Here is a 14,914-nt window from a genome sequence, read left to right on the forward strand (position 1 = left end):
AGCATTGGCAGGGCAGCGGAAGAATGGCATGCTCTGCCTTATGAATTTAAATGGAAATTATGGTTGCTTTGTTGGTGAGGGTTCAAGATGTTATTGTAATACTATAGGGAAGAGTTAATGGTGGTTTTTATTATGTGCTAGTGTGGCGTTGGTGAGAAGAAATTGCATTTAATTTAAAATTATAGCCAGGAGACTTTTCTGGAAGTTTGGAGGCAGAATGCAGAGAAAGGAAAGAGTCAAGGGTGTCTCTAAGGCTTTGGCTGATTGTTAAAAGCCCAAGCAATTTCTACCTCAGTGGCTTTTGATGTTATTACTGGATTGCCATAAAATAATTGTTCATAATGAGGTTCTAGTTGCTCTTTGGGGAAATTTTAAATTGAAGTTGTTAAAAATAAAAAATCTCCATGCTTTTAAAAAGTACTAGTAATCATTCAACATTTTTATTTTGTTGGATAATGGTATTTTCCTGACTGTGTGTCTTCTTTTATTTCCTAGTTGACCATAAGTGTTGTTGAACTTTTCATTGTGTTGGAAGGGGGAAGGCTAAAGTTGGGGGTAGACTTTGATTCTGACACAACAAATAAATGGATCATGGAGAAAATAAAAAAAACAGGCAAAAGAGAGATTAACAAGGAAGGAGTCTCAGAAAGAAAACAGTCAACACGATTCAGAAGTAAGATGTAACTTTATATAAAGAGTGTTACGTGGGCTGGGTGTGGTGGCTCACGCCGGTAATCCCAACACTTTGGGAGGTGAAGGTGGGAAAATCACTTGAGACCAAGAGTTCAAGACCAGCCTATGCAACATTGCGATACCCCATCTCTACAAAAAATTAAAAATTATTCAGGCATAGTGGTGCATGCCTGTAGTCCCAGCTACTCAGGAGGCTGAGGTGGCAGGATGGCTTGAGCTGTTGAATGAAATTATGAAGTTACATCTTACTTCTGAATCGTGTTGAATATTTTCTTTCTGAGATTCCTTCCTTGTTAATTTCTCTTTTGCCTATGTTTTTTTTCTTGTTTTCTCCATGGTCCATTTATTTTTTGTGTCAGAATGAAAGCCTACCCCCAACTTTAGCCTTCCCCACTCCAATACAATGAAAAGATCAACAACACTTATGGTCAACCAGGAAATAAAAGAAGATACATAGTCAGAAAAATACCATTATCCAACATAATAAAAACGTTTAATGTTTACTAGTACTTTTTAAAAGGATGGAGTTTTTTATTTTTAATTTTAACAACTTCAATTTAAAATTTCCCCAAAGAGCAACTAGAACCTCATTATGAACAATTATTTTATGGCAATCCAGTAATAACATCAAAAGCCACTGAGGTAAAAATTGCTTGGGCTTTTAACAAGCATTGCAGCTATGCAAGATTCCTTCTTGCTCATTTCTGATTTCTAGAAACATACCTGTTGATCATTAGCACTGTTATCTTATTACATAAATAGAACTGATGGATGTATATTTGGAAAAGCCCTGTGTGTTTTTCTCCACCTACTCATTGAAAACAAAGGCTTTAGAAGGAAAAATATGGAGAATTTGTATTGTAACATCGATATTCTAAGCACAAAAACAAGTGTACCATATAACTGCATTTTTCTAAATTCAACAAAATGGTATTTTGTGCCATCATTTCATATGTGCCTGCCCTCCTCCTTTTCTTTTTCTCTTTCTCTTTCATTGTCAGTATTTTCCTCATATCTTTCATCCCTGTGACTCCATCCTGCAGCTCCTGAATAAAAGTCTCTTTCTCTACACTTAATGTCTCATGTCTGCTTTAGAGTCTTATCCCAGTCCTAAGATCTTCTGAGGAAAAATTTCTCAGGAATCCCTCTGAACCATCTAGAGCTCACATTGTCTTCCCGTGACTCAGGGGGTAACTCTCCCCAAGCTGCCCTTCCAATTTCTCTTCTACTCATTGATTTTTCTTCATGTTGTCAGAGATAGATGTGTCTTATCTCCCCACCTCCATCATGTCTTTTCAAATCTTTTGTTAAGTCCAAGTTTTTTCTCTGAGGGCTGAGGCTTTTAAAATCAAAAAGCTAGGAAAGAGTTCGTTTTCCTCTAATTTTTGAATTTACATTTTCCCTGTTGTCAGGATACTGAATAACCTGACTTCTGCCTGATTTCAGAAGGTAAAACAGGATGAAGAGAAGACCAAAGCAGATCTGGAAATATAAGAAAAATATGTAATAATATTTCAAAAATATTAACATTGACTACCAGAAATACTACAGATAACATCCTGTACTCGCTTGACTCTTAAATTGCTTGTTTACCAATTCACCAACACCAAGCAATTTCATTTACATTTTGGAGAATTATGTATCCTGTTTTCAATATTTTCTTTTACTCATGCATTCTTCATCTATGAAGCTTCCATCTTACGAGATGGAAATTAAATAATTTCTTAAAATTAGAAATTAATTTGTTTTATGATCACCTATGAATAGTTAACACATTACTTAAACACAGATCTTCATATTATGTGACAAACAATTTTCTACTTAACACTTCCTTGTATGTTTGTATATTAATATAAATAAATTGTCTGCCCTCCAATTAGAAGGAAAGAGTAAATAAGATACTTGTAGTACATGATGAGAGATTATTAGGATACAGGAGAAAGTGAAGGCAACATCAATGGGAGAAAAAGAATGAGAGGCAGAGAATCAACCCATCTTGGCTGAGCTGCTTCAAGAATGGTAAAACCTTTATTCTTCTATGATGTTCTGGTGCCTTATAAAGAGGATACTAAATGGGTATGACAGCAGAAATACAGTAAAGACTATAAATGTAATATGCAGGCTGTTTCAGTGTTTAAAATAGAATGAAAAATTTGGAAATTTATGAACATTTAGAATCTCATTAGTTTCATAAATAACCACAGTCTCAATGAGATCATCAAAACTGCTAGCATAATCAGGTTTATACTGATTTACTTTTTAATATTACTCATTTTGACAATGAGGAGCAGTTTCTGAATGAATTATGTGCTGTAGGATGACACTGTATGGAAAGGAGAACTAGAGTGGGCCTCATATGAGGAGGCGTACTAATTGATACAGTAAAACTTTTTGATATAAAGGAGTTTCCTCTATAAGCTGCTATGGCATTTAATGCAAAGAAATATGGTTCATTTTTAACATTTTATTATAATATAAAACATCCTTTCAATATGTTTTTAAAAATGCATGTGTGTGAAATTGTTTTATAAATTGAGAACTTTTCCCCCTGTTGAACCATAATCTCCATTAGTAGAAAAAGAAGATTATGTAGATTTTTTTCTCTATCAAACTCTCAGGAACATTCCTCTTCCAGACATCAAAGCCTTTCTCTCATCATACTGCTCTTAATAGGCCTCAATATTGTTAGCTTTTAAAATGAAAGTATTGAGAAGTTCATTTATATTCTTCTTATAATCAACTTTATCTTATTTATGTCTAGACATCCATTTAAAAAAAAAATAAGCAGACAGCATTGCCAAAAGAAACGAAGCAGGCGAAATAGCCTAAATTGTCCTTATGTCTCCTTTCTAGTCAATTTATTTCTCTACCCAGGTTTCTGATGGGTATCTGTGTTTGTGCAGGAACTCTGACTGTATCTACTTCAGCTGAACGCTCACTTATCTGAGTCTAATAATGTCAGGGCCCTAGATGCAAATAGGATGGAGAAGACTGGAAGAGAGATTGTGTTAGTCACATCACGCATTTCTCAGTTTCACATCATCTGAAAAACTTTCCCTGCCTGGTTTCCTCAGTCTTTCCACAGCTGCCCTCATCCTAATCCCATTTAGGGGGGTTTCCTTTATGCACTTTTATGGTGGCCTGTATTTGCCTCTCTCAGGTGTTTACCACATGTTTTTGTCTTTATTGATATGTTCTTTTATCTTTCTAAACTGTAAGGAACTTTACTAGTTCTTAATATAGCAACTAGTCATCTGTAAGTATTCAATGTTGTCTGGTGGATAAATGAATTAATTATAAAAGTATTCAAACAGTGTACATCAAAGAAGGCAGCTCAAGACATGCTGTAAATATGAGATAATAATAACTTTTGATATTAAGTTGAAAGCTACAAGATATCAACAGTGTCTTTAGATAAGTTCAATAAGCTTTTCAGAGTATAGCTTCAACTGTGCTTATGATTCATATCTAATGCAGAATAACAAGAGAAATTCATGGGAAAAAATATGCCACCTACAAGGAACAGATTTGCACAATACTCCTTATCATTAGTAAACAGAAAATGTCAGAACAGGTGTATACTTTTGAAACAAAAGAATTCAATACCATATACAAAACAAACAATGGCAAGAACAACAACAAAAAACTGATATCAAATGTATCCCCAATTTGTTACTAATTACTAATTACTTAGTAATTAGTAATACTAAGTGCAGATGCTTTTCTAAACACTTTTTACTCATTTTCTTACTTCATCTGTATTGCAACCCTAGAAGAAATAGTTATATGAGTTTCATTTTTATAAAAATAATTAGCGTGATAATTATTCTTCAGTTATCTTTACTTTCACAGCATAACCCATTTTTTCCTACTTATCATTACATTATTAAATGCTTTAATGAAGTACAAATCAATTTTGTTAGAAATTGCCAATCTAAAAAGAAAAAGATTACTTGCTCTAAATTGATACAACCCGGGATATATCTGTATCTTGGAACATTTTGTGGTATAAATAAATTTTAAAAATGCTGACAGAGAAATCTCTACAGCAAACTATAGACAAGTTTTGTGTATTTGTGTTGTGTGACTGTGCATAGAGAGGAAGAAATATGTGGTAGTAACATGACAATCACTAAGCCCAGAATATTTTCATATGCAGAGGTTCATGAATTTCCTTGGGATTAAAGTAAATGTGTTGTGAATTCTACCATTCCTTTTGTTTTATTTTCAAGTGCTAACATTTGCCTATCCCTAAATAGTTTTTGTTTGTTTGTTTAGTTGGGAGAATTTGGGTATACAATTTATATCAGTATTTTTGTTGTTATTGTTGCTATTTGGGTGCTTTGTGTATGGTATTAGATTCCTTTGTTTTAAGAGTATATACCTCTTCTGATATTATCTGTTTAGTAATGATCACGTGTATGGTCAACTCTTCTCCTTTTAGGTGATGTAAAATTTTTCCATGAATTACTCTTTGTCATTCTGCGTTAGATATAAATCTTAACAATTTTTAAAGCTATAGTCTGAGAAGTTTATTGAACTCATCTTAAGACTTTTTTGTATCCCATATCTTTCTGTTTAATATCAAAAGTTCAACCTTTGATCATGCATTTTTACTTTCAGAAGATGTGTAGTAATTTTCTCACCAACTCCACATCTTTTGAGATGTGTTTTCATCATGAATGAGTTTATTTTGACATCCAGATAGCATTTGCTGAAATGTGAATGGTGTGTTCTCTGCTACTTAATTTTCTAAGGTCATCCCTCCAGCTTTCTAAAATTTGTCATTTATTCATCTGTCTTTAAGCTTGCAATTGGAAATTTGGGAACAAAGTGGAATTGTACAAGCAGCAGGACTGAAAATACAAATATTCTTCCTCTTGTTCCTTGTCATATTGGAAATATTCTATGATTCAATGAAGAACACTTTGAGATACAGAATAAGGGGTTATGGTAAATATAGTGAATATTCAATCATTGTGTTCTTTAAATGTATTTATAATACATACAAAAATACAACAAAGAAAATATTTTATTATTTCCCTTTCTCATGGTAAGAACAGCTAGATTCTTTAGTGGGGCATTTTTATTAAAATGAGTAAGAAATATATCAAGTGCCATGGTACAGAATATTTACTATCTTGGATGTCTGATGTTGCTCTGGCACTAAGATAAAAAGAATTAGAGCATTTTTTTTTATTGACTAGTTTCCTAAGCTAGGGTCCTCCATGCTATCAGTGTGCATACTCAGGGAACAAATGTAATTTCATATGTGACACCATTTACCGTATGTTATAATTTGACAAGCTTAGTGAGAACTTGGTTCATGAAAAGCAAACATTCATAACTTTCTTTCTTGGAAGCCTCATTACAAAATTACATATAATATAGGCATTAGATTTAGAATTTAAATAAGAGAGGAATTTAATATCAACTAAAACAAGCATAAAAGAACATTTTGAAAAGTAATTACCCAGAAATCTTGAAACTGGAAAAGAAAGAATGTAGGTCAAAATTGGAGGTCCTAATGTACAGTGAGTCATTCAGCTGGGAAGAAACCCGAGAGGTGAGGCAAAAACTGGGTAGGGGCAATGGTGGTGGAGGTGATAGAAAAGAACCTAAGATAAAAATCTAGTCAAGGGGTCTAACATTCATTGAGAAACTATGTGTAGTGAGGAAAGGAACTACCTATGTCTGAACATGAAGCAAACCAGTTGTAGGTTGAGCTTCATTTTTCTCAACGGCAAACAGTTTTCATTTGTTTTCAGGATTGAAGAGTAAAACTCTTAAGGATATCCTTGGTATTATTAGATGTCATCTTACAATATTTATCATCTTAATGACATGTTTAAATAAGTATGTTTTATAAAATATATTTGTTGAGAAATAGAATTTTATTTCTATGTTCCTATTTCATGGAAAGGTTATTCAGAATTCTCATATACATCTTTGGCATCAGAGACTTGTCATCAATACACCCATGTGTTGAGTCATTTAACATGTGTTTCTCAGAGCACGTCTTCACATCCATTTAGGTTCTTTGAGACGCTGCAGCACTCTCACATTTGTCTATGATGCAAATTTTAATGCAAACCCAAAGTACCCATTTGCTTTGCATGGTCTTCACCAGACAGTCAGTTAATATATTTCTTAAAGGATCTTTTAAAAACTCGACAACCAACACTTGCAATTATCCAGGCATATGCTTATGACTAAGCCCATGTTAAATTCTGTTTGCTTTTATTTTATGTTTGTAAAGATCATCTCAAATGACCTTTATAAATATCAGAACTATCACTAGAGGATGTCATTAGGTAAATGTCTCTTCTGACAATAGTAGTATGAGAGCCTTCGTAAGGACTAATACCTATGGTAATTTTTCTTAGAAATGATTTTAGATGAAATGAATCAAAAAGGGCCCTAGCACAAAACACTCAACTTTAAGATAATTTAAATAGAATTTAACAAAGAGATGTTTAACAAAGAAGTGGATAGTGTATAGGAAAAGAAACAGTGCACTACCCCATGGTTGGTAACAGGGCAGCTACCACCAATACTCAACCTGAAGATGCAAAAGGAGATAATGATTTCCAAGATAAGAAAGAGAGAATAGTGTAGAGAGAGCCACTTTCAAAGATGAGGCCTAGCCAGCATGATGCAACCCTGCTGGGATATGAGATTCTGACCTTTTTCTTTCCTTTTTCTGATCTGCTGAAAGAGTTCTGCACTTGTCTAACTTAATCAGAAGCCTCCCAGGGCAGAAACAGGTAGAGAAGGATCAGGGGTGTGTGGTGTAGATCTAGGCAGTCAAATATAAGATATGCAGCCCAGGAAGAACTTTAACATCTCTCCTCCCTTCTCTTTTCTTCTCTCCCTTCTCCTTATGTCTCATATGTGTGCGTGCACACACACACACACACACACACACACACTAAGTTGACTTAAGCTTTTCCAAAGTCCATCAGCAGGTCAGCATGTGGGATTTGGATTCTGACTATATGAAAGGATTAAACTTTTGCATTGTTACCCAGGAAGAAAGAAGACAAATTATCTGAAAACAAAAATAGCCATTCTGATGCCTCCTGTCTCATTGTCTAGTAAGTCATCCTAAAGTTATTGCCCAAATGCAAACATTAATGTCCAGATTGCCCCACTCGTGGAAAGAAAAAAATCATGGATTTTTTTTTCTGCAAGTAAATACAAAAGTTTCAACACATAAATAGAGTGAAGGTAACACAAATAGTTTTCAGATGAATTTAATCATTCAGATGCTGAATATAAATGACAATCCAAAAAACATTGGCCAATTAAGAAAATAAAGGAAAAGAGTACAAAAGCAGAGGCTGGAAAACAAAGCACCTTAAAAAATACTAAGGAGGCTTCCCAGGTTTGCCATGGTGAATTTTTTCCTTACTCAGTAGGTACAAATAGAAAATGTTCACAGAAATATTTTTGTCATGCAGCTGCAAAGGTAGGCAGATCTGCTTTCTATGATTGATGATATCGTTTTTCCTTTTAACATGACAGAATTTGTTAAAAAAAGAAAAACAACTGTGCTCCCAGGGATATTGGGAGCTGTGCTGTAGACAGCAGATGTATGGTTCGTATCTAATATCCAAATACATTAAATATATATTTTTTTCAAATGCTATGGCATTATTAGAAAAGCGGAAAGACAGTCCTGGCTTTGATGAAGCAAGAAAGAAAGGACATTATAAAGGAACGCTGGAAGAGGCAAAAAGAAGAAAGAGGAAGGGGAAAGAAAGGTAAAAGAAAATAAGTATCAGAAAATGATGTGGAGAGAGTGTAAACGTAGAAACAGGAAAAAAAATGTGATTGCAAGAAGAAATAGGCAGACACCAGAACCCTGATATGTGACATTTGTACATATAAATTTAGTGAAAGACAGTTGCAGTTTCTCCTGTCATAATAGCCAATGGGTTAAACACTGACATACACACACACTGTACACAACCTTTGTACCTGTTGGCATCACATAAGAAGTCGGTCTACTTCTAGTCTACCTTCTCAAGTACAGCTCTATGCCTCTTCATGGGAGGTGATCTGGTGCTAGCTAAGAATGACTAGGAACAACATGAGCAGACAATATAGGAACTAGAACAGGTGAGTACAAAGCGTGCAGTAAGGGTAGAGAAAATTATGACACCTGTTCTGATATGACTCCTATTGTTAGTGGCCGCGAACTCGTATGCGTCTGCAGCAACCTCAATTCTTGCTGCCAGAGAAGAAAGAATTCAAGGGAGGGGCAAAAGGCAGAGTGAGAGACTGAGACAAGTTTTAGAGCAGGAAGGAAAGTAAAGTAAACTTGGAAGAGGGTCAAGTGGGCAACCTGAGAGATTCAAGTGTGTGGCTTGACCTTTGACTTGGGGTTTTATAGGTTGGCGTTCTTGCAGGGTCTGATTTTCTTCTCCCTGGACTCTTCCTTTGAGGTGGGCTGTCTGCATACGCAGTGGCCTGCCAGCCCTTGGGAGGGGTGCACGTGTCGTGTGTTTACTGGAGATGTATGCGTGCTCACTTGAGGTGTTCTTCCCTTGCCAGTCTAATGTTTCTAGAAGTCATATACCAGTTAAATGTGGCCATTTTGTCTCTTAATGTGCACACTTGAGCCCACTTGCCCAGGTCCTGAAATCTTACTGGAAAGCTGCTGATCACCAGCTTCAGGTGTTTCTATCTATTGGGAGACTGCCATTCCCTGACACCAGGTGCAACCAATTATTCTTTTAGACAGTGAAACAACCACCTGACCATCACCTGATGGTTGCCTGACAGTCCTGGTGGGGGGCCCTCTCCTGCTCTGATCATGTCTAACTAGCTACCTACTCTAACACTCTAACACTAAGGATTCACAGATTTTTAAATCACTATCTCATATGGAACTCACCGTAAGCCTAGAAAGGTATTTGAGTAGCTTTTTACTTGTCTTCTATAATGTACCCTAGTTATTTTATGAATTTTCGTATGCTTTACCTACAGATCACTGGTTATTAGAACCAAGCAACCATGGGTCTGCACTTTGTTTGATTTGCCAGTTTCAACATTTATTTAATTTGATCACAAAATAGTGCTAATCAAATTCTCCAAACAAGTTTTGTGAGAATGTAAAAACAAAAAGAAAACAATAATAATAAAAGCCATTACTGATTATTTCAAATTTCTTCAATAAAACAAACATTAACATTGTCATGACTGTCTCAATTTTTTTAAAAAGAAACTAACATTTTAACAAAAAAACAAACAAACAAAAAAATACCACCATAGAGTATTGACATTTTTTTAAAAGCAGCGTGCAACTCAAAAGGATCTTGGCTTATAGAAAAATGAAATAGAAATATCCTTAGAAGGTAAAACGTATTGATTTAAATTAACAGTAAATTAGTCAGATTCTTTTCAGTTGCAAGTTACAGAAACCCAGTTCTAATAACTTAACCATATTTGATGTTTTTTACAAAAACTCTCTGGCACCAACTGGACGTCCTACAATTTAACTCAATTCTGATATATTATCTAGAGTTAGTGCAGTCCCACAAATTAGGAGTCAGTTGCACAAGACCATCCCCAATTCCATTGTCAGCCAAAGTTATGGTATCCTCAAGTTACCCATACTTGACCTGGCTGACCCAAAATGTGGGGGTTCCCTCAAGCCTTTCCTCTCCTCCCCCTCCAGGTTGGAAAATGTGTTAGAACAATTTACAGAACTCAGGAAAGCACTACCATTATATTTTTATTATAAAGAATACAACCCAGGAATAGCCAAATGGAAAAGATGCTTTAAAATGGTATGTGGGAGTGGGTGGGTAGCCCAGAGCTTCCTGCCCTCTCCAGACATGCCACCCTGTCAGCAAACTGTTGTGTTCAACAACCTGAAACCTCCCCAACCTCATTGTTCAAGTTTTTACTGAGACACTTCATTACTTGGACACTGTATTAGTAGTCCATTCTTGCACTACTATAAAGATTTGGCAATTAATAAAGAAAAAAGTTTAATTGGTTCACTATTCCATGGGCTGTACAGGAAGCATGGCTGGGTAAGCCTCAGGAAACTCAATCATGGTGGAAGGTGAAGGGGAAGCAGGCATATTTTACAGGGCTGGAGCAGGAGGAAGTGAGAGAAGGGGGAGGTGCTACACACTTTTAAACAGCCAGATCTCCTGAGAACTCACTATCATGAAAACAGCAAGAGGGGAATCCACCCCCATGATCCAATCACCCCTCACCAGGTCCCTCCTCCAACACCAGGGATTATAATTTCACATGAGATTTGGGTGGTGACACAAATCAGAACCATATCAGATATGACTGATTAAATCATGGCCACTTGATTAAACTCAACATGTAGCAACTTCCCTCTTCTCCAGGAAGTTGGGAGATGGGGCTGAAAGTTCCAAACCTCTAATCACTTGGCAAGCCCCTCCCTTGACACTCTCTAAGAGGCCACCATGACACACCTTGTTAGCATAAACTCAAGTATGGTTGAAAGGGGCTCATGATGAATAACAAAAGACATGCCTATGGCTCAGAAAATTCTAAGGGTGTTTGAATCTCTTGTGACAGGAGTCTAGGACAAAGACCAATTTTTTTTTTTAATTACACCACAGCATAAAAAGAGATTTAATGGTCTATATGTCTGGAAAGTTCAGGGTGACCTTTAGACATGACTGAACGCAAGGGCTCGAATAATGTCATCATCATGTCTTTTTCTCACAAACTTCTTTTCTCCACTTTCTTCTAACTCAAGTTTATTCTTAGATGGTCTTGGACCAAATTAGGCAATGATTAATTCTGATTATTGAATCCAGATTGCTCCAGATCCTTATCTACATATATACATGATCATTGGCTCTCCCAATGTTTGAAGACATTGCATATTGAATACACATATAATTAAATTTTATTTGACATTGTCAGTTATGCTAGTTTTACTGCATGGTACAATGGGATTTGTAAAAGAAGATCATGTAGTAACTGCTTGATATTGTAACCTGTGATATTATATGAACTGTATTTATTCTTACATACGGACATCATATTAAATATATAGCCTACATATGTAAATACCATATTAAATATGTAACCTATTTATGAGGTTAATGTCAAAATATTAGTTTTCTTTCAAATTATCTCAGCATAGATATTAAGATTATATTACTAACTTTTTAGTCTTTTTAATCCAATTTGAACAGTATCGAATAGTTTTTTGTGTGACAGAAAATAAATTATTTTATTTTTGAATCAACTCTATGATTTTAAGAAATATTGATCGGGTTATTTCCCAAAGCTGAAAATTTAGGACAGACAGAGACGTTTTATATAATTGGATCTCCTGCACAGTAGAAGGAGTGAAATAGGCAAGATGGTTTAATAAAAATATCATTTGACTTTTCACAACAGTGAAGTGATTCATTGATCTCCACTTGGGTTGTCAGAGCTCAGGAGACGAAGTTTATCAGAAGTGAAAGTTGATGAATATTGGCTGTTTATGGCTTTATAAAATAATATTGGCTGTTTATGGCCTTATAAAATATTAATATTAAGTAAAGGAATGTTTTAACTAATGAAATTTACTATAAGCCTAGACTTAGATACCACAATGACAACTTGGAGAAGAAATTAACATTTGCAATGATATTAGAAGACTATAAGAAAAGGACTAAAGATAAGAGTTTGGCTTGAAGACGCGTATTTGTTCATGCTTTAACTTATTTAACATTCAAATATTTTAATTGAACACCTACATTACGAAAGACAAATATTAAGTTCTTGGTTTAGAGAAATAAAGAAACATGGCTCATGTACTTAAGGAGCTTGCAATTGAGGAGTCCCAATACTTTAATTTTTGTTTCAAGAAGCATGTAACCTGGTCACAGAAATAGACGAGTAAATGGATAATTTAGAGTGTGATAAATGTTAGGTATATAGATAGTAGATGATACAGAAACATGAGATGGAGCATTTAAAAAAAACTGGAATAGGCACTAAAATACGAGGAGTGATAAAGGCTAAAATTTCAAAGCTTAATAGAAGTTGAGCCAGATACTGAAGGGATGGGCTACTGCACATGATTAATGATTAATGCAGTTGAGAAGAAACATAGTATTGTAGATTCTAGGGACTTCAAGTTTTTTATGACTTAGTATATAATGCAAGAATAAAGTGATTGGAGATGAGGCTGGAGAGTGAGAGATGATTGAGATACTAAAGGAGGCATTTGATTATAATCTTTGTGATCTATTGAAAAATCTTTAATGATTGACATTCAAATGTATGTTTGAAAAGATTCCTCTGAGTTTTAGTAGAGTGGGTTACTTTATCCTAGGCTGACTGAACTTAATAATCAAATGGAAGTTTTATAGATTTCGCCAGGGTGTGCAGAGGATGTAAAGTACCACAGACCAACAGATGGAAAAGTGTAAAGTTACGTTGCTTTATTTGTTTTTTAATTACTCCGGATATATTATTGACGTGGCAGTGCTCACTAAGAGACAAAGGGAGGTAGAAAAACAATAATGGACAGGGATATATATAAGCTGGGAAATGTTTTGGTGGTAGCACAGAGTTCCGTAAATTAGCACCAGGTTGGTACTGTCACATAATTTGTTGGTAGGAGCACAACAGAGCAGCTTGTAAGAACAGATGAGCCAGGGCACAAATAAAGCAATGAACATTAATCAGCAAAACTTAATTTAGCATTGGACATCTAGATGGCACTCAGTGATGCTGATCATTATTACCATACTGCCATGCACAGAGGGACTCAAAAAATATTAGTTGATGGTAATTATAAACTCAATGAGAAACATGACTAGCATTCCCCACCCCCATTTAGGCTATCCTTTCCAGAAAACATTTTCATGTTTATGACCACTAGTAAAAGACACCTTGTGGAGAAATACTTTGACCATTATCTAGGCCTAAAGATACTCTTAATTTTATGTGTTTCTTTATAAAACACAGACAAATTTATTCATACACTGTATTCTATTTCCAGTAAAATGTTTTATCTATTTATGTTCCTGATGACTCAATATTTAGTTTGGTTTTATTTGAGTCAGAGGTTTAAGTATGTAATCCATTAAACTTAAAGACAAATATTACTAAATATGACTGGGATGTTCAATGTAGCAGTAATCTCACCCAAGGTGAATCTTATTGGCTATTATATTGCCAATTTCACTTGAAGTAGTTGATCTCACATTAATGAGTCTTTTTTGGTACTAGAAGTATCAGTGTTCTGGCTTGACTGTTTAAAAGCTTGTCTGCATGTTTCTTAATTTTGTCCCAAAGACAGAAAAATTATGAATATAAATTTTAATATATATTGCTGAGCATGAGAAGGGGTAAAGTGGGGGTGGGGACACAGAACTTAAAATAACTAATTCAAATATGATGTACTCATACCTAATAAAGTCCAAATGATAATAAGAAATAATGCTATTGCACATGTAGGTCCAGCTATTATTTGGAACAGTTTATCATTTACTATACAGAGAGGGAATCAAACAGAGGCTGATTTCATTTATTAATTTTTTAAAATAATAAATGTATGGATATATGATTAATGCTCTCTCATCTTCCTTTTTATCATGCTTAGAATATCTTACCAGAGAATAAAAGACATTGCTTGAGATCCTCTGCTATGGTTCTTTATTCCTGCCTAGTTCTCTTCTGCATTACCCAATTTTCCTCAAATATATCCACTTTAAGCACTTAAATTTCAAGCATAGAATGAAAAGGTAACACAATATCAAAATGTTATGTTTTAACACACGAATATGGTCTACTATATAAGCATTTTACTTCTGATGAAATACAGTATAACGCAATGCAACACAAACACAATAAAATAATGTATGATATTGCATAAGCAATAAAGATCACTCCTACCTGGGCGTTTAAAATTACTGTTCTCTAGAATTTGTCTGGTCTCTATGCCATCATCATTCTAGATGGCAACATCTTTTATTTCAAGCTTAGCATGGAGAAAGGAATAGGTAAGAAAGGAAAGGGGTTTAAATTCTGTTTATTCATAAGCTGCCACATAATACTTTGCTTTATATTTCACTGACTGTAACTTAGTTAGATTGCTACATCTAGCTGCAAGAGATTCTGGAAATATAGTCTTTATTCTGGAAGTCACCTGCCCACATAAAATTATGGGATAGGAGAACAGATACTGGGAAATCATTAACAGTCTCTGCCATAC

The 14,914-nt window shown here is 34.9% G+C and overlaps 1 protein-coding gene across 17 annotated transcripts in view, besides 1 other annotated feature; it reads left to right on the forward strand.

Moving 5' to 3' along the window:
* Nucleotides 1–14,914, forward strand: part of CADM2 (cell adhesion molecule 2) — a 1,115,441-nt gene that overhangs the window by 785,888 nt on the left and 314,639 nt on the right. The window lies entirely within an intron of this gene.
* Nucleotides 552–790: a silencer, noted in NCBI's record as "fragment chr3:85794578-85794816 (GRCh37/hg19 assembly coordinates)". NCBI's record gives its function as "represses an EF-1alpha promoter that drives an FKBP-Casp9 reporter gene in an ReSE screen in K562 erythroleukemia cells {active_cell/tissue: K562}" and the evidence as "EXISTENCE:reporter gene assay evidence [ECO:0000049][PMID:32094911]".

This window comes from Homo sapiens, chromosome 3 (genome assembly GCF_000001405.40).
Source record: "Homo sapiens chromosome 3, GRCh38.p14 Primary Assembly".
NCBI classification, from domain to species: domain Eukaryota; kingdom Metazoa; phylum Chordata; class Mammalia; order Primates; family Hominidae; genus Homo; species Homo sapiens.